The sequence below is a fragment of the Homo sapiens genome, chromosome 1, assembly GCF_000001405.40.
Source record: "Homo sapiens chromosome 1, GRCh38.p14 Primary Assembly".
Classification (NCBI taxonomy): domain Eukaryota; kingdom Metazoa; phylum Chordata; class Mammalia; order Primates; family Hominidae; genus Homo; species Homo sapiens.
Window position 1 is genome coordinate 98,261,230 of NC_000001.11, and position 25,097 is coordinate 98,286,326.

General features: G+C 36.5%; 2 long non-coding RNA genes across 2 annotated transcripts in view; both read left to right on the forward strand.

The window, feature by feature from the left end:
* LINC01776 (long intergenic non-protein coding RNA 1776) overlaps positions 1-11,429 on the forward strand; it is a 61,948-nt gene extending 50,519 nt beyond the window's left edge. Inside the window, exon 3 of the long non-coding RNA NR_046088.1 lies at positions 9,366-11,429. This is a non-coding gene — a long non-coding RNA (long intergenic non-protein coding RNA 1776). The remainder of the gene's footprint in view (positions 1-9,365) is intronic.
* LOC124900404 (uncharacterized) overlaps positions 1-21,276 on the forward strand; it is a 228,127-nt gene extending 206,851 nt beyond the window's left edge. The window contains exon 2 of the long non-coding RNA XR_007066241.1: positions 21,131-21,276. This is a non-coding gene — a long non-coding RNA (uncharacterized LOC124900404). The remainder of the gene's footprint in view (positions 1-21,130) is intronic.
* Positions 21,277-25,097: the final 3,821 nt, after the last annotated feature.

Sequence of the window (25,097 nt, forward strand, 5' to 3'; positions counted from 1 at the left end):
TAGCTGGGCATGGTGGCACATACCTGTAGTCCTAGCTACTTGGGAGACTGAGGCAGGAGAATCCCTTGAACCCAGGAGGCAGAGGTTGCAGTGAGCTGAGATAGCATCATTGCACTCCAGCCTGGGCAGCAAGAATGAAACTAAGTCTCAAAAAAAAAAAAAAGTTGCTATCCACTCTAGACTTAGCTAATGCCCTGCTTTTCTCCCCATCTCCCACTCACATAGGAAGTTATATTATGCATTATTCATCACTTACCTCACTACAATTGTGAACCTTGATTTTTCTTTTTCTTTTGAGTTCTGAGCTCTTTGAGACCTATCTGTGTATTTTCAGCACCCAGCAAAACTCCAGGTATAGGCACACAATAAATATTGTTGAATAAATAAACTGGTATAAGTGAACATACCTATAAATATTTCTTCCATTAGTTAACTCATTGTCATTAATTGCACACATATTTGAGTGCCTACTACGTGCCCAAAGGATATTGTGCTACGTAGTGATAGCAACACAAATGGCAGGTTTTGTTAACTAAGTGATATGTCAATTTCGAATGAATAAATATTTCTACCTTTTGATCTTTTCCTTTCAGTATTATGCCCACCATGTCCTCTAACATGCATACTTAAGTTTAAATTTTTTAAATGGGCAAAGTGCACCTAATTTCATTGCACATATTTAAGCAGAGCTTTAGTATTGATTAAAAGTTGTAATGCAGTGCTTCCCTTGCTGACCTCCCAGTCCATTAATACTGTCTGTATTTCATCAGCAGACCTTTGTAAGCATCCACCATGGGTTAGACTCTCACTGTGCTTGGTGCTTAGGAAAGGGCAGAGAAAGGCATATACTATTACTACTGGCCTTATGAGAGTAACAGTCTAGTGGGAGAGGCAAGTGTTTTCCAAATAACTATTCAATGATTACTGTGACTAATATTACAAAGGAGAATAAAATGCTATAAGAACATAAAATATGAGAGTGAATTTAGAAGGACGATGGAGTCTTTGTGCTGTTTCCTATACCTAGAACACTCTTCCCACTATCATTTCTCTAGTCTAATTTTCAGATCTCACTCTAACAGCTACTTTTTAGAGACCTCCTTAGCCTCCTCTCCCACCTCATCTCAGGCTCATCTAAATTAGATCTTTATTTTTTTCTCTCATAGCATTCCATTGTGTCCCTTCAAACCCATTATCATACATGTGTTACATGTGAATTTGTGTAATTATTCATTGTTTGTATTTTCTGTTGTTTTAAGCTCCAAGGAAGTGAGAGCTGCATTTCTTTTGTTCACATACTCAAGGTTTAGCACAGTGCGTGAATTTATCACGGGTTCAATAAATACAGATGGCATACGTAAATGGAGGAATAAATGAATGAGTGAATGTATACATGAATGAACTGATATTTAAGCTAGATTCTGAGCAACAGTCAGTTGGAAGTAGCCACATAGAGAATAGAATGCCTTCCAGACAGATGGAACAGCATGTGTGAAAGTGCCTGAAATGCCAGAGAGATATAGGCTCATTTTTGAAGCAATTCCTGAATATCAGAAGGCAAAGAGTAAAGAGAAAAGGGACACAATATGAAGCTGGAGGCATTGGAACACCCCATAGCTTCCAGAGCCTTTTACACCCTGTTAGGACGTTCAAATTATATTTAATATTATATATAATACTTGTGTGTGTGCATGTATATGGTCAATTGGTACTGAATTACTACACTGCATTCCAGCCCCCCAGATAAGGAAAACTTGATATTTTTGTACCCGCAAACCGTCAAGATGTATACTTAATTCTGCTATATGGAACACTGTTTTTAAAACAGATCACTACTCGAGATTATAGAATAGGCGAACTGACTTAGCACAGAAAAAACATGGTGCACAGCACATTCAAATTAAGTCAGACCCTCCATGTGCCTGAAGAACCTGTTGGTAAACAGCTGTATAATGAGAGGCTGACTGCTCCCTGCCCTTCTTCAAGTTTGCTTGAGTACTGTGGCTTAGTGTTTGTGTGTGTATGTGTGTTTTCCACTATGATTATCCAAAATCAGGAATGCATTTAACAAATAGTAATGATATACTGGAAATAAAATTTTCCACCTAAGACTTCACCTCACTAGTTAGCCTCGTTTTCAGAAGGCTTGAACATACATACACTCATACACATTGTCCATACAATTACTTTGAAATACAAATGAGATTTGAGATTACATTATATTGTGTCTAGACCCTGATGTTCAAAGTCAGAAAATTATACTTTAGAGTATAAGTGACTCAGTGCATTTAGAGTTTGGCCTTAGGTGGGAATATGCTACATTTACACTATCGGCTGCAACTGTGAATGGAGAAATGAAGAAAGGTGATATAAACACAAGGTTTGGCATATCAGGTTTTCCTATTCTTAAAGTCAGCTTATGAGTTCACATAAGTCATTTTGTTAAGGCGTGGACTTTGTGTTTTCTCCATTTTGAATCTGTAAGAGAACAGGGAGCTTTTTATTTAGTGAACTCTTGCAAAGACACAAACCCCTGGACATCTAAAGCATCTCTCATTCATTAGATGCAGTCAGACAGAGGTTTGTGTGCTCTCAGTGACCTTGCTACCACACTCTAGCTTCCTGGAGCAATGCTGGAGTGTGTTCCTTTCTGGCTTGGAGTCTTTCGCATGACAGGCTCTGAACACATTCATCGAATATGTTAAAGAACTCAGATCCTTTCTGGGCATGACCTTATTTGTTGTAAATACTCTCAAGGGAGGGTATTAGTTGTTCCCAGTCCCTGGAATACTCCTAATTTGTGGTATAATGCTAGCTGATGCCAGCTAACATTTATTACAGGCTTATTTTGTTCCATTAGTTTTCATATATTAAATCATTTATTTCTTACAACAAACCTAGAAGGTAAACACAGACGAGGTTCACAGAGTTTATCCAAAGTCACATAACTATGAATCATAAAGCTGGAATTTGGACACGAACAGTCTGACTTCCTCCATCTTTTTTTTTTTTTTTTTTTTTTTTTTAAGACGGAGTTTCGCTCTTATTGCCCAGGCTGGAGTGCAATGGTGCGATCTCGGCTCACCACAACCTCCGCCTCCCAGGTTCAAGCGATTCTCCTGCCTCAGCCTCCCAAGTAGCTGGGATTACAGGCCACCATCACGGCCAGCTAATTTTGTATTTTTAGTAGAGACGGGGTTTCTCCATGTTGAGGCTGGTCTTGAACTCCTGACCTTAGGTGATCCGCCTGCCTCGGCCTCCCAAAGTGCTGGGATTACAGGCGTGAGCCACTGCGCCTGGCCGACTTCCTCCATCTTAATGTCTAGGCTGTGTTGCTACTGAAGTGGAGTGATGTGGCTTTTTAGATGACACATTGATGAACAGTTTTTATTTTAATTACATTAGAAATAGGCAATTTGCACATCAAAGTCATGATTTCATGGTTATTGCTCAGGATAGAGCTAAGGTAAAAAGGTGATTCCATTTAAATGTATATATAAAATATTAAATAAAAAACTAGTAAAACAGATATGACAAAAATATGTGGCAAAATAATGACGAAAATTGTGTAACATATCCCTAATATACTAAAGTACGGAGAAAATCTGTTTGATTTACAGCAGGGTGGACCACATGGCAAAGTCAATGCTTTTCTACAGTTAAGGGTGCTGTTATTTAGACATACCGTGGTTATTACGCTTCATGCTCTGTTACTCCTCAACAAAATGGCAATTACAGAGGCAGGTGTATGCTTTACTGAATGCCAGAAAGGTGGAAAGATTTTTCAGATTTTTTAAATTAGACATAGCTTTCTAATTTTCCAGGAGAATATTACTTATTATTAAGTTTTAATGTTTCCAGTAATTTACTGCGATTTGATGAACAACTTGCAAATTACAATATAGATTGTCATGACTAAATACTCTGTGGGGGCAGGGTTTGTAGCTACAAATCTGTACTCCACGCCGGTAGGGTGCTTGTTAGATTGAATTGGATACATGACTTCCTTTCTAAAATCTGGCAGGACAGAGAATTATTTGTTTCTAACCCATACACCTCCCCACCACATAAGAAATTAGAAAGCCTCAAATCCCCATTTCTCCTTATCTGCTGTTTTCTTCCAAGCTTCAAGAAACCAGAAACTTATCAAGCACCCCTAAATCATGGCAATCCTTTCCCTAGGCATAGAGTTGAAGGCAACTAGTAATAACGTATATTTTTTTCTATCCTGCTATACTTGTTACATAGGGAATAAATTAAAGGATAGAAGAGCTACAAAAATTTAGATCATTGTACTTATTAAAAGGCAGGGATGATCTTTTAGGGCTAAAAGAATAAAGTTTTAATTTGATTCTGCAATATTTCCTATCTGAAAAAGGCCCGCAGCTGTACTACCTGCTCTTGTTTAGCCAACTCTTCTTCCCATCCTAGTTCTAAAGTTTTTTCCCAAATTTCCTCCTTCATGAAGTTTACACATGGAATTAGACAGATGACTTGGATCAAGCTATAAGAAAGATCTTCAGAGAGGTTCCTGTAAGTTCCTTCCAAAGATCCTAAATGATGCTTACAGAGTCAGAAATTTCTTTATTAGGGATTTATTTCTCCACATTAAGTAATCGTGTCTCCAGAAATTCCCTGTCAAAATAATAATGCAAGTAATACAAACAACACTATAATTGGCTGCTAAGATCTTGATATTTTTCTTGGATAGTTAGCAACTAGTGTTAAATCAATAAGGAAACTGTGTAAATTCTTTTAAAAAAGTCTTTTTTCCTTTACAAAGCAAGACAAATTTATTCTAGATAACTTGGAAAATACTACTAAACAAAGGAAAATCAATCAAAATTCTATCATTCCTGGTAATTTTACATTATATTTGATGTATATCCTTCTAAACTTAAATATACATTTATGTGTTTATTTTTTCATATTTTCTCAAATATTTGAATATCTTAATAGTCTTCTACAGCATGTTATTCTTTTCCTTGAAGGTACTATTTTATAATCAATCTCCTCTGTTTGAAAATTGTTGAGTCCATATTTTTTGATACTGTAAACAGCATTGCATTGAAATTTTTAAATAATTAACTCTGAGTTTTTATGATAATTTCCTTAGAATAAATTAGAATGAATTATGAGGTATTTTTGAAAAGTTGCATGCCTAGGTCTGATGTCAGTCTGAGTGGAGGAAGGGCCATTGGTAGTGGCATATGACATGATGTCAATGATAAACTGCCTCTTTGACAATTTCACCAAAGAATTCCTCATCCTTTTTCAAGCAGTGTGCACAGTTAAAATTTGTGTGCTCTGCTCTACAGAGCTTTCCTTTAGTCTTCTTTTGACATTCCATAGGGACTTCTTTACTCTTTCCCATTGGACTGTAAGTAACTTGATGGCTAGAGGGTGTTGTTGTCAAATAAAGACTTAATATTTGCAGAAATGACTTATCAAATATTTAACTCAGAGTTATCTTTGCTAGGATTCTCAATCAGAAGCTTTTCTTTAAGCTGAGGTTGCTTTATTCTGATAAATCAAATGATTTTTGTCTGCTATTGACCCTGCACTTGGCATAGTGCTAACTTTTAATAATCATTGCTACCTTAAAAGGAAGGCTAATATGTTGTGATGGAAATACACAGAGAAATAAGTAATGTGACTTATATTTTTTAAAAGGCTTTTGCTGCAGTGAATATTTTCATGAAGACATCATGGAGGTATATAATATTTCTGTAAAACATAATATAAAATCACCAAGGAACCTAAATTAATGAATCTGCAAGTAGTTTTTTCCTGTACAGGAACACTAACTCAATAGACACCTGTAACCATGGTGTTAACCTGTTCCATGAAATTGAATGAATAAAATGCTCTGTGCACAATGGGTTTTCAGGTATTTGAAGAGTTCATCATGACTACACTGATGGGACAATTTCAACTTAAGCGCTACGAAATTCCTGAGGGAAGAGAGAATCTTAAAGGATTCTCAGACATTAACTAAAAACTTGAAAATGTATGCCAACCTGTTGGCATTGTCTATTTTTGAGAGAAAGAAAATACTGGGAAGCAATGTGTTTGCAATATAGTCCCAAGGTGCAGGCTTAGTTCAATAATTTAAATCTGTGAACGAAAAGCAGAGCTCTTTCTTGGTACATTAATTATACTTTCACTAGACTTTAAAATGGAGGAGTTATGTAGACTTCTCTCCTCAATTCAACAATTTTCTGAGAGGTCACTGAGAGCTTTGTCTTTCCTACAGTATTTTTGAGGGAAAATGTGTTTTAATAAGTAAAATTATTTCTCAAGAGCTTGAGGACTTGACACTGATAGACCAGAGCTGAAGATGCTCAGCTCTGCCAGAACCTTTTGCATTAGTTCATATCCTCAGGAGTTTTGGACTGACAGTGCTGAAGGGTTTGAAATTGGGAAATATATTACTCAAGTTTGCCCATTAAAATATTGGAGGAAAAAAGTACCGAAGTTGCAGCCAGCGTGACGTGCAGTATGTGACACTGGAAAAATGCTGTGAATTTCAGGGGTTGTCTGAGCATAGAATCATGTGATGTGACAAGTGCAGGCAATACTTTTTTTTGTGAACAGCTGATTTAACAGGAAGAGAAAACTCCATGGAAAAGTATCAGTGCATAAACTCCTCCTTTCCTAAACTCAATGCTATTAATTCTTTGATTCAAAGAGTCAAATTTTGTCAGAAAAATGGAATACACTCTGACATTCTCTGCCAAATGGATAGACACCAAAAAATGACATTAAATGATATTTATGTTCGGACCAACTTACTAAAGGCTATGAAGAATTATTATTGGCATGGGACTTTCTTGTTTAAAGTTCAACACACTTTATTGTTGTAGTCACATATTTTGCTATTTTGACTATTTACCATCATTTATATTGAACAAATCATTCTAACATATTATCCTATTTGATATTATAAATAGGCAGGAAAAAAAGCTAAGCTTCCAGAAAGACAATAATGATAATAGTGATTTCACTTGATACGAATGGATGTAGAATTGGCAAGAATAATAATCCTGTCAAACCAAATACATATGTTGAATAGTTTCAGTGATGTTTTAAATGCACTCACTATACAAAAGAACTTTAAAATAAAACAAAGCATAACATTTATTGCCAGGAAACTTGAAGTGTTTCATGAACACTAAGCTCAGTTTTTCCCTATGTATCAGAAAATCGTAAAGAGCAACTCCTTGTCTTTCTTGTACTGTCTTTTAATATCCAGTTGCCTCTGGGCTTTATGGGAAAATCACTAACAGACTGACACCCAGCCAGAAGCCTGTACGACTGAGTGTGTGTTAACATTTCTTTAAATATCTCCTAAAAGACAAAGCAAAATGTGACACAAGAGATTCTGAGAACATGCAATTCCGCCCCTCTGAGCATTCCCCAAGGACATTCTCTTGCTCCTCTTTCACTTATGGTCAAGATAAATCTCTCTTCCTTCTAGGGTATCCCTAATAGAATGCCCTTGTTGAATTAACAATTTCTTACATTTGCAATGACATTTCTAAAGAATTTTTTCATATGTTATGTCATTTGATCTCACAATGACCAATTAAACAGGTAGACCAGATAATAATACCCCAACCCAGTACCCACGTCTTCTGATTCCCAGGGCAGGTGTCCCATCTCTCCTCCAAACTCGAAGTTAGAAAATAGAGAAGGTTGTTTGAAATGTCATGGTAGTGCTTCATGGTGGTACTCATCAGAGAGTATAATTCAAATTATCTGCTAGCCAGCTTCTGTCAAAAGTCTGGCTGAGATGGTGAGAGAATAAATTTCTGGAGATAATTTGGCAGTATGTGACAAAAGATTTAAAAATGCTCCAACACTTCAACACAGAAATTCAATTTTTTATAATTTATCAGAAATGTGTGCAAAGATATAGGTATGATGATGGTAAGGACCTTATTACTTACAATATGGAAAATTTTAAACCTAAATATCTAAATTAAAAAATTGATTACAATACTGTGATATATGTTTACAGTGCAATATGAAATTGAAATGTAAAATTATGTTGTATAACCCTATTCATTGATTAAGAATAGTGTTTCTGATACATCCATAAATTAAATATTAGACAGAAAAACTGTATACAGTATCATTATATTTTTGGAAAAAATATATTTTATGCATGAAAAATTATTGGCTGAAAACACAACAATGTGTAAACAGTTTTCTGGGTAGTAGGATTAGCGATGGTTTATTTCACTTTTTGCTTTATCTGTGTGTGTGTGTGTGTGTGTGTGTGTGTGTGTGTGTGTTTGTCCCCATTTGACATGTATTACCTCTGTGATTAAGGTTAAAATGTCTATGCAAAAAGAAAGCCTGGCTGAGAGAACTGATGCCTGTAGAAGATAGCCTGTAGAAACATGTTCAGCCAGTCCTTTAATCATTCTAAGTTCTAAACTCATGTCAAGATAGAGAACATAAAGATAACATAAAAATATTAGTTTAGCCAGTCTAACCATCACCTCCCATTTATAGTTTATTTTGTACAATTAATGTTGAATTTGTTATTTGTTATGTTCTTCAATGTCCTTTATATACACTTACAAATGATAAATTATTTTTCAAATATAGTAATGGAAAAGAATTTGTCTTTCAGATTTGTAATGTTTGCATCTAAGTTCTAAAATATAAGGGGAAATTTCATAAACCTATTTGATTCTCTCTTTCCATCAATATATATAAAATATTAAAATAAATTGCAATAAATCTATAATTCTTGTGGATAGCATATTTTATTTCTCCATGTTGTTTTTGTTTTTAAAAAATTTTTAATTTGGACAATATTATTAGATATATACTTTTTATTATATTCCTCCCTTTTTTTAAAAAAAAAAAAGTTGTAACAAAATAAATAATTTCCCCAGGGACCCTTCTTCTTACTGTACATCTGAAAAATTTAGAAACAAGGCCCAGTTACATGGCTTTCACGGTACAGTGGAAATTTTAGAGGATAGGGTGAAAAAAAAACCTTTATTTAAGTCCCTAGGATACTGCATATTACCCCTGTGACAACGGAAAAGTCACAATCTATCTGGACATGTGACGTTATCTAAAAAACTTTATGTAATACCTAGGAGTGAAAGAGACCATTCATTGTCTTGTCTCTAAGAGCTACACCTAACTTCCTTTGTCCTTGTTCTGCCTCCCACCGGAGGGACTGTAAGAAGCCAACTTATTACCTTCCCAGTCTCTTTGTTGCTAGGTATGGCCGTGTGACTCACATACCCCTTGATAAGATTTTTGGGATAGGTTTTTGAGAAGCATTGTTTTTCTCTTTGATAAATAAGTAAATTCTGTTTGTTTCACTCCTTTTCCAGCACTTGTCCCAACTACCTGCTTCTGGCTTTGTTTTGCCTAAAGCTGTGAAAAATATTATTCAAACACAAGATGGCAAACTGAAGAATGAAAAATCAACATGTATCAAATGATGAAGGGGAAAGATGGAAGAAGCCTGGGTTCTTGATGGCATCATTGAACCCTCCATGCAAGGCCAGCAACCAAGCTGTCATTAACTAAAGCTAGATGCATTATTATGTTCAAGGAATGAACCCTTATCTGATTAAATTACTGCCATCTAGGTTTTCTGTTACCTGCAGATGAGCCATCCTGATGCTCAATATCATAGAATTATTCTGAAAGTTAAATGAAATAATGCATGCATAATTGCTTAAATAACTACAGATATACTGTTTAAAGAGGTAACACAGGGCAATGGAAAAGGCATTGGACTTGAACTCTGACTAATTTAGCCTGGAATCCTAGAAAGTCACCTTATTAGACCTTCTTCATAGGAAAATGTAAACAATCTCTGTGTGTCAGTTGTGTCATCTCTAAAATGGAAATAATTAGCATCTTGGAGGATTGTTGTAAAGGGTAAGGGAGATAAGATATGGGAAAGCTCATGGCATAGGGCTTGATACATGTTATTCAATAAACATAAGTTAGGGAGAAAAATTAGCAAGTAGCAGTGTGGTCTGCCCCAAGTGAACACACTTCCTTTATCTGAGTCAGATTACACTGCCCCTTGAACCTTTACAACACTAAACAAAATTTAGAGCACTAGGAGATACTTCAGAGTGTCCTATTAATAAAAGTAGTGGAAGGATAGTTTTTTTTTTTCTAATTCTGTGAAGAACATTAATGGTAGTTTAATGGGACTGGCATTGAATCTATAGATTACTTTGAAAAGTATGGCCATTTTCACAATATTGATTCTTCCTATCCATGAGCATGGAATGTTTTTCCTTTTGTTTGTGTCCTCTCTGATTTCTTTGAGGATCAGTTTGTAGTTCTCTTTGAAGAGGTTCCTCACTTTCCTTCTCAGCTGTATTCCTAGGTATCTTTTTTTTTTGTAGCAATTGTGAATGGGAGTTCATTCATGATTCATCTCTCTGCTTGCCTATTGATGGTGTATAGGAATGCTAGAGATTTTGCACATTGATTTTGTATCCTGAGGCTTTGCTGAAGTTGCTTCTCAGCTTAAGAAGCTTTTGGGCTGAGAAAATGGGGTTTTTTTAGGTATAGGATCACGCCATCTGTAAACAAAGATAATTTGACTTCCTCTCTTTCTATTTACCCTTTATTTCTTTATCTTGTCTGATTGCCCTGGCCAGAACTTCCAATACTATATTGAATAAGAGTGGTAAAAGAGGGCATTCTTGTCTTCTACCACTTTAAAAGCCATATGGAACCAAAAATGAGCCCAAATAGCCAAGACAATCCTAAACAAAAAGAACAAACCTGGAGGCACCATACTACCCAACTTCGAACTATGCTACAAGGTTATAGTAACCAAAACAGCATGATACTGGTACAAAAACAGGCACATAGACCAAAGGAATGAAAAGAGAACTCAGAAATAAGACTGCACACCTACAACCATCTGATCTTCAACAAACCTGACAAAAACAAGCAATGGGAAAAGAACTCTTTATTTAATAAATGATACTGGGAGAACTGGTTAGCCATACACAGAAAATTGAAATTGGACCCCTTCCTTACACCTTATACAGAAATTAACTCAAGATGAATTGAAGACTTAAATGTTGATATGGTTTGGCTCTGGATCCCCACCCAAATCTCACCTTGAATTGTAATCTCCATAATCCCCACATGTCAAGGGCAGGACAGGGTGGAGGTAATTGGATCAGGGTGGTGGTTTCCCCCATGCTGTTCTCATGATAATGAGTGAGTTCTCATGAGATCTGATGGTTTTATAAGGGGCTCTTTTCCCTTTGCTTAACACTTCTCCTTCCTTCCACCTTGTGAGGAAACTGCTTTGCTTCCCCTTTACCTTCTGCCATGATTGTAAGTTTCCTGAGGCTTTCCCAGCCATGCTGAACTGTGAGTTAATTAAACCTCTTTCATTTCTATTAATAAATACCCAGTCTCAGCAATTCTATAGTAATATGGAAACAGACTAATACAAATTTAAAACCCAAAACTATAAAAACCCTAGAAGAAAATCTAGGCAATACCTTTCAGGCAAAGATTTTGTTACGAAAATGCAAAAAGCAATTGCAACAAAAGCAAAAATTGACAAATGGGATCTAATTAAATAAACGAATTTTGCAGAGCAAAAGAAACTATCATCAGAGTGAACAAAGTACAGAATTGGAGAAAATTTTTACAATCTATCCATCTGACAAAGGTATAATATCCAGAGTCTACAAGGAACTTAATCAAACTACAGGAAAAACACAAACAACCCCATTAAAAAGTGGGCAAAGGATATGAACAGACACTTCTCAAAAGAAGACATACATGGAGGAGCAAACACGAAAAAAAGCTCAACATCACTGATCATTAGAAAAATGCAAATCAGAACCACAATGAGATACTATCTCACGCCAGTGAGAATGGCGATTATTAAAAAGTCCAAAAATAATAGATGCTGGCAATGTTGTGGAGAAAAAGAAATGCTTTTACACTGTTAGTGGGAGTGTAAATTAGTTCAGCCATTGTGGAAGACAGTGTGGCAATTCCTCAAAGACTTAGAGGCAGAAATACCATTTGACCCAGCAATCCCATTACTGGGTATACACCCAAAGGAATATAAATCATCCTATTATAAAGATGCATACACAGGCATGCTCATTGCAGCACTCTTTACAGCAGCAAAGACAGGGAATCAACCTAAAAGCCCATCAATGATAGACTGGAAAAAGAAAATGTGGTACACATACACCACAGAATACTATGCAGCCATAAAAAGGAACAAGATTTTGTTCTATGCAGGGACATGGATGTAACTGGAAGCTGTTATCCTCAGCAAACTAATGCAAGAAAAGAAAACCAAACACTCCATGTTCTCACTTATAAGTGGGAGCTGAATGATGAGAACACATGGATAAATCAGGGGGAACGACACACACTGGGGGCCATTGGTGGTGGGATTAGGGGGAGGGAGGGCATCAGGAAAAATAGGTCATGGATGCTGGGGTTGATACCTACGTGATAGGATGATCTGTGCAGCAAACCACCATGGCTCACGTTTTACCTGTGTAACAAACCTGCACATCCTGTACATGTACCCCTGAACTTTGGATAAAAAGTTTAAGAAAAAAAAGTAGTAGAAAGAATTTTATTAGTTTATTAAGTGTTATAAAGATCTAGGCACCATTTAAAGAACTTCACATATACTAATTTAATCCTCATAAAAGTTTATGTGGTAGGTGTTACCATTCACTTCATTATACAGATGAGGAAAATGCAGTGCAGAGAGATTAAGATATTAATCCCAGATTAGATATCTAATAAATTGAGCAGCCAGAATTCAAACTCAGGAAGTCTAGCTCCAGAGCTGGTACTCTTAATCTCCGTATTATGTTATCTTCTAACAAAATTACTAACACATTGACCGAACCCTCTATCTGGTCATGAAGAAGTTTGAATCCAACCTATCCCTGCTTACAGGCTTGGATTGTTTGCAAAAGAGAAGGTAGAGCTGCTTCTCATAGTTAGCTTTTGGATAAAACAATATATTGGGCCTGATAGAGTTTGAATATGTGTCCCCTCAAATCTCATGATGAAATGTAATCCCCAGTGTTGGGGGTAGGGCCTGGTGGGAGGTGTTTGGATCATGGGGGCAGATCATAAATGGCTATCATCATCCCCTTGGTGATAAGTGAGTTAATGTGAGATCTGGTTGTTTACAAGTGTGTGGCACCTCCCACTCTCTTTCCCTCCCTCTTGCCCCTGTTCTTGCCATGTGAGATGACTGGCTTCCCTCTTCATGTTCTGCCATAATTGAAAACTCCCTGAGGCTTCACCAGAAGCCAAGCAGATGCTGGCATCATGCTTTCTGTACAGCCTGCAGAACCATAAGCCAATTAAGCCTCTTTTTTTAAAAACAAATAATCCAACTTCAGGTATTCTTTTATAGCAGTACAAGAATGGTCCAACACAGGGCCATTCCATCTATTTTAGTTTCTGGGGAGTTGAGATGACAGAAGGCTCTAAATCTCCATTGGGCATCACCACATTAGGCCTGGCTGAGCAAAATTTCAAGCCCAGGCTTTCTCAGTAGGCTTTTAAATAAAGGGATAAGCTGCTCTCTAAATAAAGGAGCATAGAAGGAACCAAAAGAAGACCTGAAACTTGCCTATGCTGTTCCTTTTTCCTCAGCATAAACTTGCAGGTATCTTAATAGAGGAAATTTGTTAGCATTTTGGCGTACTATCCTAGGAAAATAATAACATTTATTAATGTTCTTTATTCCTATAAATATGAAATTTTCTTTATGGAGATATGGGTGATATGAGACTTATATTTCCATAAGGATGCCCAGAAAATACTCCAGAGTAAGCAGACTTCTTAGTTAGGCATAAATCTATGTAAGGTTATAAGAGTGAGAGTGATTATGGGCTTACTTAAAATGGATATGGTGGTTTCACTCTCTTAGCTTGTCTTCCTGTATTGTAGAAGCTAAAAGCTTAAATTAGATAATTCCCAGACTTTATTGCAGTTAAAATTCTAGACATGAATTAGCTTCTGCCAATTAAATCCATTCACATACCATTAAGAACATGGAAATGTGGAGGGGGCGCTCTTCATTCCACCTGAGTGTTTCAACTGGCTGGTGTGACGGTATTTGCCAGGGAAGCTGGATGGAAGTGAGACAGTTGGGTCCCATGCTGCAAATTCTTGGATTTTGCTAGGGTAAGGGGTGGCTTCAAAGGTTTCCCTGGATCAACCTAGAGGATAATTAAATCAAAGTAAACTTTACAGGCAGCAAGATAAGGTAGAGAGCGAGTCAGATTTATTCCTTAGTTTTTGTAAGAAATTATAAAGGCTCAGATGGTTCTGTAGGAAGGTGTAGAAGGGGTATAGTTGAGGGCTTGTGGTTTTCCCTTGAAGTGTACCAAGGCACCAGGTAATTCAGCTACAGAAGACCTGGGATGACAAGTTTCAGGAAGAAGATGGATAGGGGTTATGACAAATGTTACAAAATGTCTACAGAGCCTTCCAGAACCAAGGTGCCTAATCAAGAGGGAATACAACTGAATCATAGCTGCCTGAGAGAAAAATATGGATCACAGATATATAACCTAAGCATATTATAGTGTCAGAAGTCAACAGAAGTCCTGAGGTAATGCTAGTCAATTTCAACAGGCATCTGGTCCATGGGGAAATCTCAACTGGCTTGTCTTGAGTTGAGATGAGTGAGGCTACGAAATTTGATGCAAGTTCCTGAGCTCCCAAGCCCCATTTTGCTCTCACCAATGCTGTACACCTCACCCATATCCCAAAAGAGCAGAGGAGGGCTCTGGAAGACTAGAAGACTGTCCATTTTAACCTAAAAATTCTAAGTATCATCTAAAGGGAACACTTAAATTATTGCATCAGGCAAAGGTTACCACATAAGGCTAAAATTTAGATTTTCCTTTCCACCTGTTTCCCAGTAGGTGGATTATGCTAATGATCAGATCAGATGAAGAGCATAAAGCTTCCACATTTTTTTCAGTGTGAGGGAAAAAAATATGAGTATCTTTCAGACTCTTCTGCATAGACTATATTTAGTTCATTCTATCTGCAGCCTTAATTACCTGCCCCCAATTCAAGAAATATGCAGTCCACAAAAATGGAAGTTTTTCATAGATTAAATATCTTGCTTCCTTATGAGGGAAGAGTTCTGAGCAGGGAAACAGAAATTTTTCAGCTTTCCCTGTTAAGATATAATGAAATCATTTTATTATTTGTTTTAACTCTAGAATACTTAGAACCTCAGATTAAGCCATATATTCAAATTTATGTACAATGACAATAAGGTTAAATCTACATTGATTTTTGAATAAATTGTGACATGACTCATCTGGGTCAACATGGGTAATCAGCAACTCAATGTATATTCTTTGGATGTCCCTCCCCCACCATCTCCTGCTCCCACCACCTCCATCATAATGGCTGCAGGTAAAGGATTCTTGTAAAAGGCTATCTGTGGTTCACAGACTTGCCTGGGGTGGGTAAGCACTAAATGCACCCTTCGTCAGCTAACATAAGGCTCATTCACTCAGCTTAGCTTCTTTCCCAGCCTCCCAGGTTGGTGCAGTGTAATCCCCCTTTCCTCCTTATTTATTTTTTAAGATTTCCTATAATCCACATACATATGTTCTTTTCTTAAGGTAACGATTGTTTTTCAGATCAAAAAAGAAAAAGTTTTCAATCTATTGATTACAGTAAAACTCACTAATCTTTTTGTTGCATAAATGTGTTTATATGTACATCTATGTCCTAGTTTTAGCATTTCTGCCCTTATTCATTTTAATATCCTTTAAAAAGTGACTCCTGTTTTTTCTTTTGACCTGCAAATAGCTTTGATTACTTTTTCTTTGCATATGTTAGTGGACTCCATAAGGAGATCATCATGCATAGGCACCTGTACCATGTTTAGGGACATTCAGCTATTAGTTAATTAGCCTACGTCTCATGAGTATTTATAGTACTTGTAATATGGTAAAATCATGTGTATTAGAGCTGGTCAGCATGAGTCATCCTTTACCCTAAGTTTGAAATCTACTTCCCTGGTGTGGCAGGCCAGGCCTCACTAATACAGGCCTCCCTAACAACCGTTTCAGTACTGAGTAGTTAAGTTAAATATTAAAAGTTAAAAATGCCAGGGCCCTTATACAAAGGCTGGAATGTAACAAAAGCCCACCAAGAATCTTGCCTATGCTTTTCCTGGGCCTTAAAGCATGACAAAATAATGAAGGAATTCTTAACAGGACTCATTTAGGATTAAACAAGTTTTACTGGGGATCTGAAGAAACTCCTCAGGCCTCCACATACAAGTTGATTAGGGGTCTGAAAGAATACCCAAACCTCTGTGATTTAACAGGAAACAAGATAAGGGTAATCACCCTACCACCTGAACCCCTTTAGACTAAGTAAATTTACTGAGGCTCTAGAGGAAGGTCTTCAGGACTGAGACCTTATAGATTAAAAGAAGTTAATCACTTATGTCTTTAGATGAATGCAGACTTACACGTAGACTTATAGCTTAGGAGGTACATAAGCTCTGGAAAACTTTGTGTTTTGAGTTGGTCTGGTGATAATTTCCAGGTCTTCTCCCTGTAACTGGCTTACAGGAATAAAACTTTCTTCCTCCCCAGTTCGTCCGCATCTTGTTATTGGGACACGAGAAACAGCCCGACCTTCAGTTTGGTTCAGGAACACTGGGACTCTGTTTTGAAAGAGCACTGTGAAAAAATCTCCTCTTTTGTGGAACAGTTATTTAAAAACAACCAACTAAATGGAGATTACTTAAGAGAAATGTGTGTCGAGGACATAATTCCCTACAGCCCTATTAATAGTGGGATTTTGTTGACATGCTTAGAAATGTCAGAGAAATGTTGGCACTTGTATCATATCATCATATCCTCCCTGGTTATGTTGGTCCTACCACTGCCAACATGCTACAAGTCATGGGCACTCTGCATTTGCTCAATGGATGGATTGAATTCTTCCCTCATTTAGTCAGTCAGTCTGCAAACAATGATGACCTCCTGGGTTTTATCCAGATCAAATGCTAAGCACTCTAGGACCGAATGCACAACAATGAATCCTGTAGCTTTAGTTCTCAAAAAACTTTGCAGTCTAATGGTATAAACAAACACACTAGGGGTCTCCAAAGCCAGCTGTGCATACGTATAGGTTGTACTAAACTATCCCATAGAAAAAAGATTTATGCTTATATTTTTACTAAAAATTAAGATACATATTAATTTACTGATAGTCAATGGTCACATGTCACTAAGGTACAAGTTTTCCTTAAGAAAGAGCGGAACTTCTGCAATATGGAAAGACTAGAGGCTTGCATTCTCACCTGTTTGTTCACGTTCAATTTATTTTTATGCCTGTAAGCAGAGAACAAATTATAAAGTGACTTGCATCATACAAATTTACACTGATGATTTTAAGAATCCCTGAGATTTAAATCATAAAGAAACATTATCAAATTTGTATTCAGAACTTTCTATAACAGTGTAATGGAGGGCATTTTGGAGTATTGGAACAAGATAACCCATGAGAAAGCTACAGGACTCTGTTTTACTTAAGTTCCATAGCACTTAGAACAATTTATATTTATTGTATTTTATTTTTGTTTGCTTGTTTTTGCCTGCTTTCTCTAGTAAATGGCAAACTCCATGAAGGTAGAAACAAACTACTCTACCTTGTCTCATTCATATCCTAGTACCTAGCACAATGTCTGGCACAAAGAAGGGGTTAAATCAATATTTGTAGAGTGAATGAATGAAGTGGAGGGAGAAGATATTTGAGAGATATTTAGGATATGTAAACATATGCATTGTATAAGATATCTTTGAGACACTTGTCTTCAAGTGGGTATAGCAATTGTGGCCTCAGTGAGGTGTCTGAAGAAGATTAAGTAAAATTACATAGGAAAAGATCCCAGTAGAAAGTAGGACACAGTCATTTCTTTCAGTTCACTACTATTTTCTCCAAAACACATTTCAAACAGCTCCAAATATTGTACAAGTAGAGTGATCATACAAATTTATTATCTAAACTGTAACTCTTTTCAGAAAGTAAACTGTCAAAGTAGAAAGGACAGAGATTAGAATCATAATTGAGATTGTTTGGTTTAGAATAAATGGTTATCTTATGGATAAAGGATAATCAATTCAAAAGAACTTCTGCTCTTCCAAATTAATAATGCTGTGAGTTGTTCTGTTGATTAGAAAGAAAAAGGCAAACATGTTTTTATGGGTGTATCTTGTTGAAAGTATAATCTACACATGCCAAATAAATGTGAAACAAATGGATGAGCAGAGTTATTAATGCTGGAATAAGAATAATATTTATACATACTTTGTTCTTCATAATAATTACTACAATTTGCTGTTTATTTCCCACTTACTTGTTTAAAGTTTTTGCTCCCACAGAGCTGTAAGCACCATGAACACAGGGAGCATGTCCATTTAGTTTACCACAGGTCCTGGTACATGGTATCCAAAATAAAATATCAGTTAGGTGAACAGAAAGATTCACTATAAGGTTTTTTCTAACAGTGGTTCTGCCACCTATTGGCTTTGAGATTCTGGATAGTTACTTCAACTCTCTGAGCCCCATTTCTTTCATGTGCAAAATGGAGATAAATTGTTCATCATGCTGGTATAAGGATTAAATAAAAACAATGCTTAAAACACGAATCCTAGTACAGCCACATAATATATGTTCAATAAATGTTACCTGTTAGTAGGGCCTGTTTGAGGAAGTCAAATGAAAATTAAGACAAACAGTTTTGCAGAATGTTTATATTTGCAGGGACTTTTCGGGAACCCACAGAAAACACACAATAATTGCCTCACTTAGAGTTGGGATTCTGACTTGCAGCTTTGTACTAGTGACTTTTCTGTGGACGATATATTCATCAGAGATAAATTACCTCCGACTACAGTTGGACAGAGTAGGGGGCTCCACAGTGGTGGAGATCAATAGATGGGGGTGGCCAGAGGCTTTAGTGCTGGGCCGATTTAATGAGTCTTGGAAAGAGCTGTATTAAAAGCTTTTAGGGGAAAGCTCCCTGTTGCTGCTTTTTGTGCTCTGTCTAGTACTTTAATGAATGCTGCTATAAAGAGTGTTTTATCTGTGCATTATGAGCCCAGGTTTGACTGTTCAGGCTCTCAGAAGGATTTTAGCTGTCTTGGGATAAGATTTTATGAAGGGAAGAAAAACTCATATAGAAATATGATTTTCATAATGAGTACTAATCTGAAGAAATTAACAGCAATCACTGGTATTAAATCCCCAAATCAGAAATTTTGGACTGATTAAAAATATGCACCAATCAAACAACAGAATTTCACACCAGATTTTGATAGTATACTTATCTTTGTATTATTATTAACACTTTGGGCTGGATTATGGATTTGTTCTCCATGATATGTAAAAAAGCTTTGGGAACTTAAAACACTAGTAAAATTCTGTTTCTTCAACGTCACTCATATCTTTTGAATCCCAATGCTTACCCTTTATAATTACATGTGATATGTTATTGAATATTGATTCAATTTTAAAAATATGAGGGTAATATTTGTACCAAATGCACATTAACATAACTTGACCGGCTTCTAGAGTGGAATGACATTTCAAAATAGCAAAGCAGAAGGCACTTCCTTTACATGTGTCTAAACCTCACAGTGTCATACATACAGTACACAATTTGCTTTGTGAGAATTTTTCTATTTCATCTTAGATTTTTCTTCTGGGTTTTAAAAATAATTATACTTATATGTGGAGTTAGCACTTTAGCAGAGATTTAAAGCCCGTTTCGATACCTGCTTATGATAAGCTTAATAAGGCTAGGAAAGGAAGTGTAGTACTGAATGTATTGAATCCATTGAAAGTGTTCCCCCTCTCCTTTCCTATGAGTTGTTTCAAAAAGCATAAGATCCAGAGCCATTAGCAGGTGCAACCCAGTTAAATTCTTTGGTAGAAATGGATTATAGGGGGATGATTTCTGAAGATATTACTGATAAATTGAAATTTTCAAACTAAGTTAAAATATATTATTACATTCTGCTTTTATTAATAGCCTGCACAGGCCAGGCCCAGTGGCACGTGCCTGTAATCCTAGCACTTTGGGGGGCCGAGGCAAGGGGATCACCTAAGGTCAGGAGTTCAAGACCAGCCTGGCCAACATAGTGAAACCCCGTCTATATTAAAAATACAAAAATTAGTTGGGTGTGCTGGCCCATGCCTGTAGTTCCAGCTACTTGGAAGGTTGAGGCAGAAGAATCGCTTAAACTATTAAAAATACAAAAATTATTGGGGTGTGCTGGCCCATGCCTGTAGTTCCAGCTACGTGGGAGGTTGAGGCAGAAGAATCACTTAAACCAGAAAGGCCAAGGTTGCAGTGAGCTGAAAACCCACTACTGTACTCCAACATGGGTGACAGAGTGAGACTCCGTCTAAAAAAAAAAAAAGCCTGTACAAATGTAAACCATATACATACAGTTATTATATCTCAAAATATTTTTTATTTGAAAAGATCAATTTCTGAAATATTTTATTTGCTTTTTAGACTTATTATGGTAGTGAATTTTAATTCATTGATTCATTTCATTTTGCTTTCTTATCATTATCCTGTAGAAAGATGGTAATAACATCATTTTTAAAATTTGTTTATTCACTAATGTTATTTATTCATTTGCTAGGTTACACATACTTTCATTGAGCATTTATTATGAGCTTTGATTGAGACCATAAAAAGGAATAAAACAATGGCTGCTTTCCGTAAGTCGCTTTGTGGTAAGGGAAGAGTCAGTGAAATAAACTGAATATTACCAGACACTGATAAGAAGTTTGTGTAGCTTCACAAAAGTTTACTGAAATGACTAAATATGTGCTTGATACAGTTTGAATACATGTCCTTGCCAATCTCATGTTGAATTCTAATCCCCAACGTTGGAGGTGGGGCCTGGTGGGAGGTGTTTGAGTCATGACAGCTGATCCCTTATGGATTGGTGCTGGTTTCCTGATGGTCAGTGAGTTCTTGGGAGATTTGGTTGCTTGAAAGTGTGTGGCATTTTCTCCTTTGCACTCTCTTGCTTCCACTCAGGCCCTGTAACATGCCTGTTCTCACTTGGACTTCTGCCATGTGTAAAAGCTCCCTATGGCCTCCCCAAAAGCCAAGCAGATGTTGGTGCCAAACTTGTACAGCCTGCAGAACTGTGAGCCAATTAAACCTCTTTTCTTTATAAATTACCCAGTCTCAGGTATTTCTTTTTTCCTTTTATGTTTTATCCTCTCAGGGAGGAAGGTTTTATAGCAGTACAAGAACAGCCTAACACAGTGCTTTTAAAAATAGCATTTTCCATTTTTGTTTTCTGATTATAAAACTAACATATCAATTTTAAGAAATTCATATTTTTAGTATTTTTGTGTATACACTTCCCATCTTTTATCTGCATGAAATTATATCTGTACGTGTTTTACACATCTGAGTATATACTGCTTAGTGCCTGTTTTTGTGTGTTTTACTTAACACTCTACCATAAATATTTTCCCATGTCAATATTTATTTTATAATTTTAATTTTAATAGATATTCTTTGCTCCATTATTAGATGTACCATAATTTAGTTCAATTCTTCCCAATTGGTTATTTAAAGATTTTTAAAATGCCATTGTAAATAAAGTTCCAATGAAAAATTTATAAACAAATCTGATTATTTCCTTAGAAAAATCTCCTAGACCTTGAATGGTTATTTATATATTTATTTATTTATTTATTTATTTATTTATTTATTTGAGACGGAGTCTTGCTCTGTAGCCCAGGCTGGAATGCAGTGGTGCAATCTCGGCTCACTGCAAGCTCTGCCTCCCAGGTTCACGCCATTCTCCTGCCTCAGCCTCCTGAGTAGCTGAGAGTACAGGCACCAGCCACCACTGCCAGCTAATTTTTTGTATTTTTAGTAGAGAAGGGGTTTCACCGTGTTAGCCAGGATGGTCTCGATCTCCTGACCTCATGATGCGCCTGCCTCGGCCTCCCAAAGTGCTGGGATTACCGGCGTGAGCCACCGCGCCCAGTCTAAATAGTTATTTATTAACGTATTCATATTTAAAGTATCATATTTATATAGATAAATGTTCTTCAGAAATTGTGCATTATATAAGGGTGCCCTGCATTTTTACACTTTACCATTCTTTTTGGTCTTCTCTGTTTTGATGAGTGAACAAGTAGCATTGAATATTTTCCATTTTTATTAGCCATGTGTTCTACTCATTAGTAAGTTACAATTAATGACCTTTACCTGTTTTTTAATTTCAAAGAACTCAGAGTTCTAGTTTTGTAAAATAGTTGGTTATACTAGCTTTTTAAACCTTCTACCTTTATATTTGTGATAAAATAATAAATAGATAATGAGAATGGTTGACCTTATCAAGCATGCAAGAAAGGGAAACCTTATTTACCAGAAGCAGAGAGGTAGCTAAGAGGCAAACAATGATTATGCCAGCCGATGCTATGGCAGGCCAAATGTGATGGTGATTGTGTACAGGATACTGCATTGCCACGCAATTCAACTTCTATGGTCTTGCTGTGGAATCAGACTGGTTACAAAAGGCAACACTTAAACTGGGTTTTGCCTTGACTCTGGGTGGCACAGAACATCTATTTTGAGAACTCAAAATCCAAGTTTGTGCTTACAATTAATTTGGAGTCCAATTTAAGCTACTTGGGTATTAAAACACATGCACACACACCACACACACTGAGAAATAAACATGGGAATTGGTCTCTGGCCACTGATACATCTCTGGTGTCTGTTGGAATCAAATGCAAAGCTTTCTGGGGAGACACTTCAAAAACCAAGATGCACAGAATTTCCATAATAACGGCATGCTTTGCATAAGATAAGATAATATAAAAAATGACAAAACGCTAAATGAAACAATCCACCGTGAATAAGACTTAGGAAAACAAGAGAAATAACACCTACAAAACATGAGGTAATAGAATAATACTATTACAGGGATTGTAAAGTGAGATATTTAAAACTATTGATGTGATGAAATAAGTTATAGAAAACAAAAGAAGAGGACAGGAGATTGGTTTAAAAACAAAAACAAATTCAGTTTTGAAAAGGTACAAAATACACAGTCTAAATACTTAAAAAGAAACAAATCATCATTAAAAAAATGGACAATCTAAACAGCAGATTGGAGATCACTAAAGAGTGAGAGCGTAAGTGAGCTAGATGAGAAATCTGTTGTGGGAAAAAACTATAATACAGTACAGAAAGACAGAGATAGGGAGTGCGTTCAATTTGGGTTAATAAGAATTCCAGGAAGAAGTAAAAAGAATGGCTCAGAATTTTTGAGAATTAATAAAAGTCATATATCTCCAATCCTAAGCTATGCAATTTCCAGGAATAATAATAGTAATAATTCTAGGAATAACATCAAAGAAAAAGAGAAATTTTAACAATCAAAAAAATGCAAATTCATTACAAAGGACCAATAATTAGACTAAAACCAGACTTTTTTTTTTGTTATACTTTAAGTTCTAGGGTACATGTGCACAACATGCAGGTTTGTTACATAGGTATACATGTGCCACGTTGGTTTGCTGCACCCATCAACTCGTCATTTACATTAGGTATTTCTCCTAATGCTATCACTCCCCCAGCCCCCCAGCCCCGGACAGGCCCCAGTGTGTGATGTTCACTGCCCTGTGTCCATGTGTTTTCATTGTTTAACTCCCACCTATGAGTGAGAACATGCGGTGTTTGGTTTTCTGTCCATGTGATAGTTTGCTTAGAATGATCATTTCCAGCTTCATCCATGTCCCTGCAAAGGACATGAACTCATCATTTTTTATGGCTGCATAGTATTCCATGGTGTATATGTGCCACATATTCTTAATCCAGTCTATCATTGATGGACATTTGGGTTGGTTCCAAGTCCTAGCTATTGTGATTAGTGCCATAATAAACATACATGTGCATGTGTCTTTATAGCAGCATGATTTATAATCCTTTGGGTATATACCCAGTAATAGGATGGCTGGGTCAAATGGTATTTCTAGTTCTAGATCCTTGAGGAATTGCCACATTGTCTTTCACAATGGTTGAACTAATTTACACTCCCAAGAACAGTGTAAAAGCATTCCTATTTCGCCACATCCTCTCCAGCATCTGTTGTTTCCTGACTGTTTAATGATTACCATCCTAGCTGGCATGAGATGGTATCTCATCGTGGTTTTTGGCTAGGGCAATCAGGCAAGAGAAAGAAATAAAGGGTATTCAATTAGGAAAAGAGGAAGTCAAACTGTCTCTGTTTGCAGATGACATGATTGTATATTTAGAAAACCCCATCATCTCAGTCAAAAATCTCCTTAAGTTGATAAGCAACTTCAGCAGTCTCAGGATACAATATCAATATGCAAAAATCACAAGCATTCCTATACACCAATAATAGACAAACAGAGAGCCAAATCATGAGTGAACTCCCACTCACAATTACTACAAAGAGAATAAAATACCTAGGAATCCAACAAGAGATGCGAAAGACTTCTTCAAGGAGAATTACAAGTCACTGCTCAACAAAATAAAAGAGGACACACACAAATGGAAGAACATTCCATGCTCATGGATAGGAAGAATCAATATTGGGAAAACGGCCATACTGCCCAACGTAATTTACAGATTCAGTGCTATCCCCATCAAGCTACCACTGACTTTCTTCACAGAATTGAAAAAAAAAAAAACTGCTTTAAAGTTCATGTGGAACCAAAAAAGAGCCTGCATAGCCAAGACAATCCTAAGCAAAAAGAACAAAACTGGAGGCATCACGCTACCTGACTTCAAACTATACTACAAGGCTACAGTAACCAAAACGCATGATACTGGTAGAAAAACAGATATATAGACCAATGGGACAGAACAGAGGCCTCAGAAATAACAGCACACATCTGCAACCATCTGATCTTTGACAAACCTGACAAAAACAAGCAATGGGGAAAGGATTCCCTATTTAATAAATGGTGCTGGGAAAACTGGCTAGCCATATGTAGAAAGCTGAAAC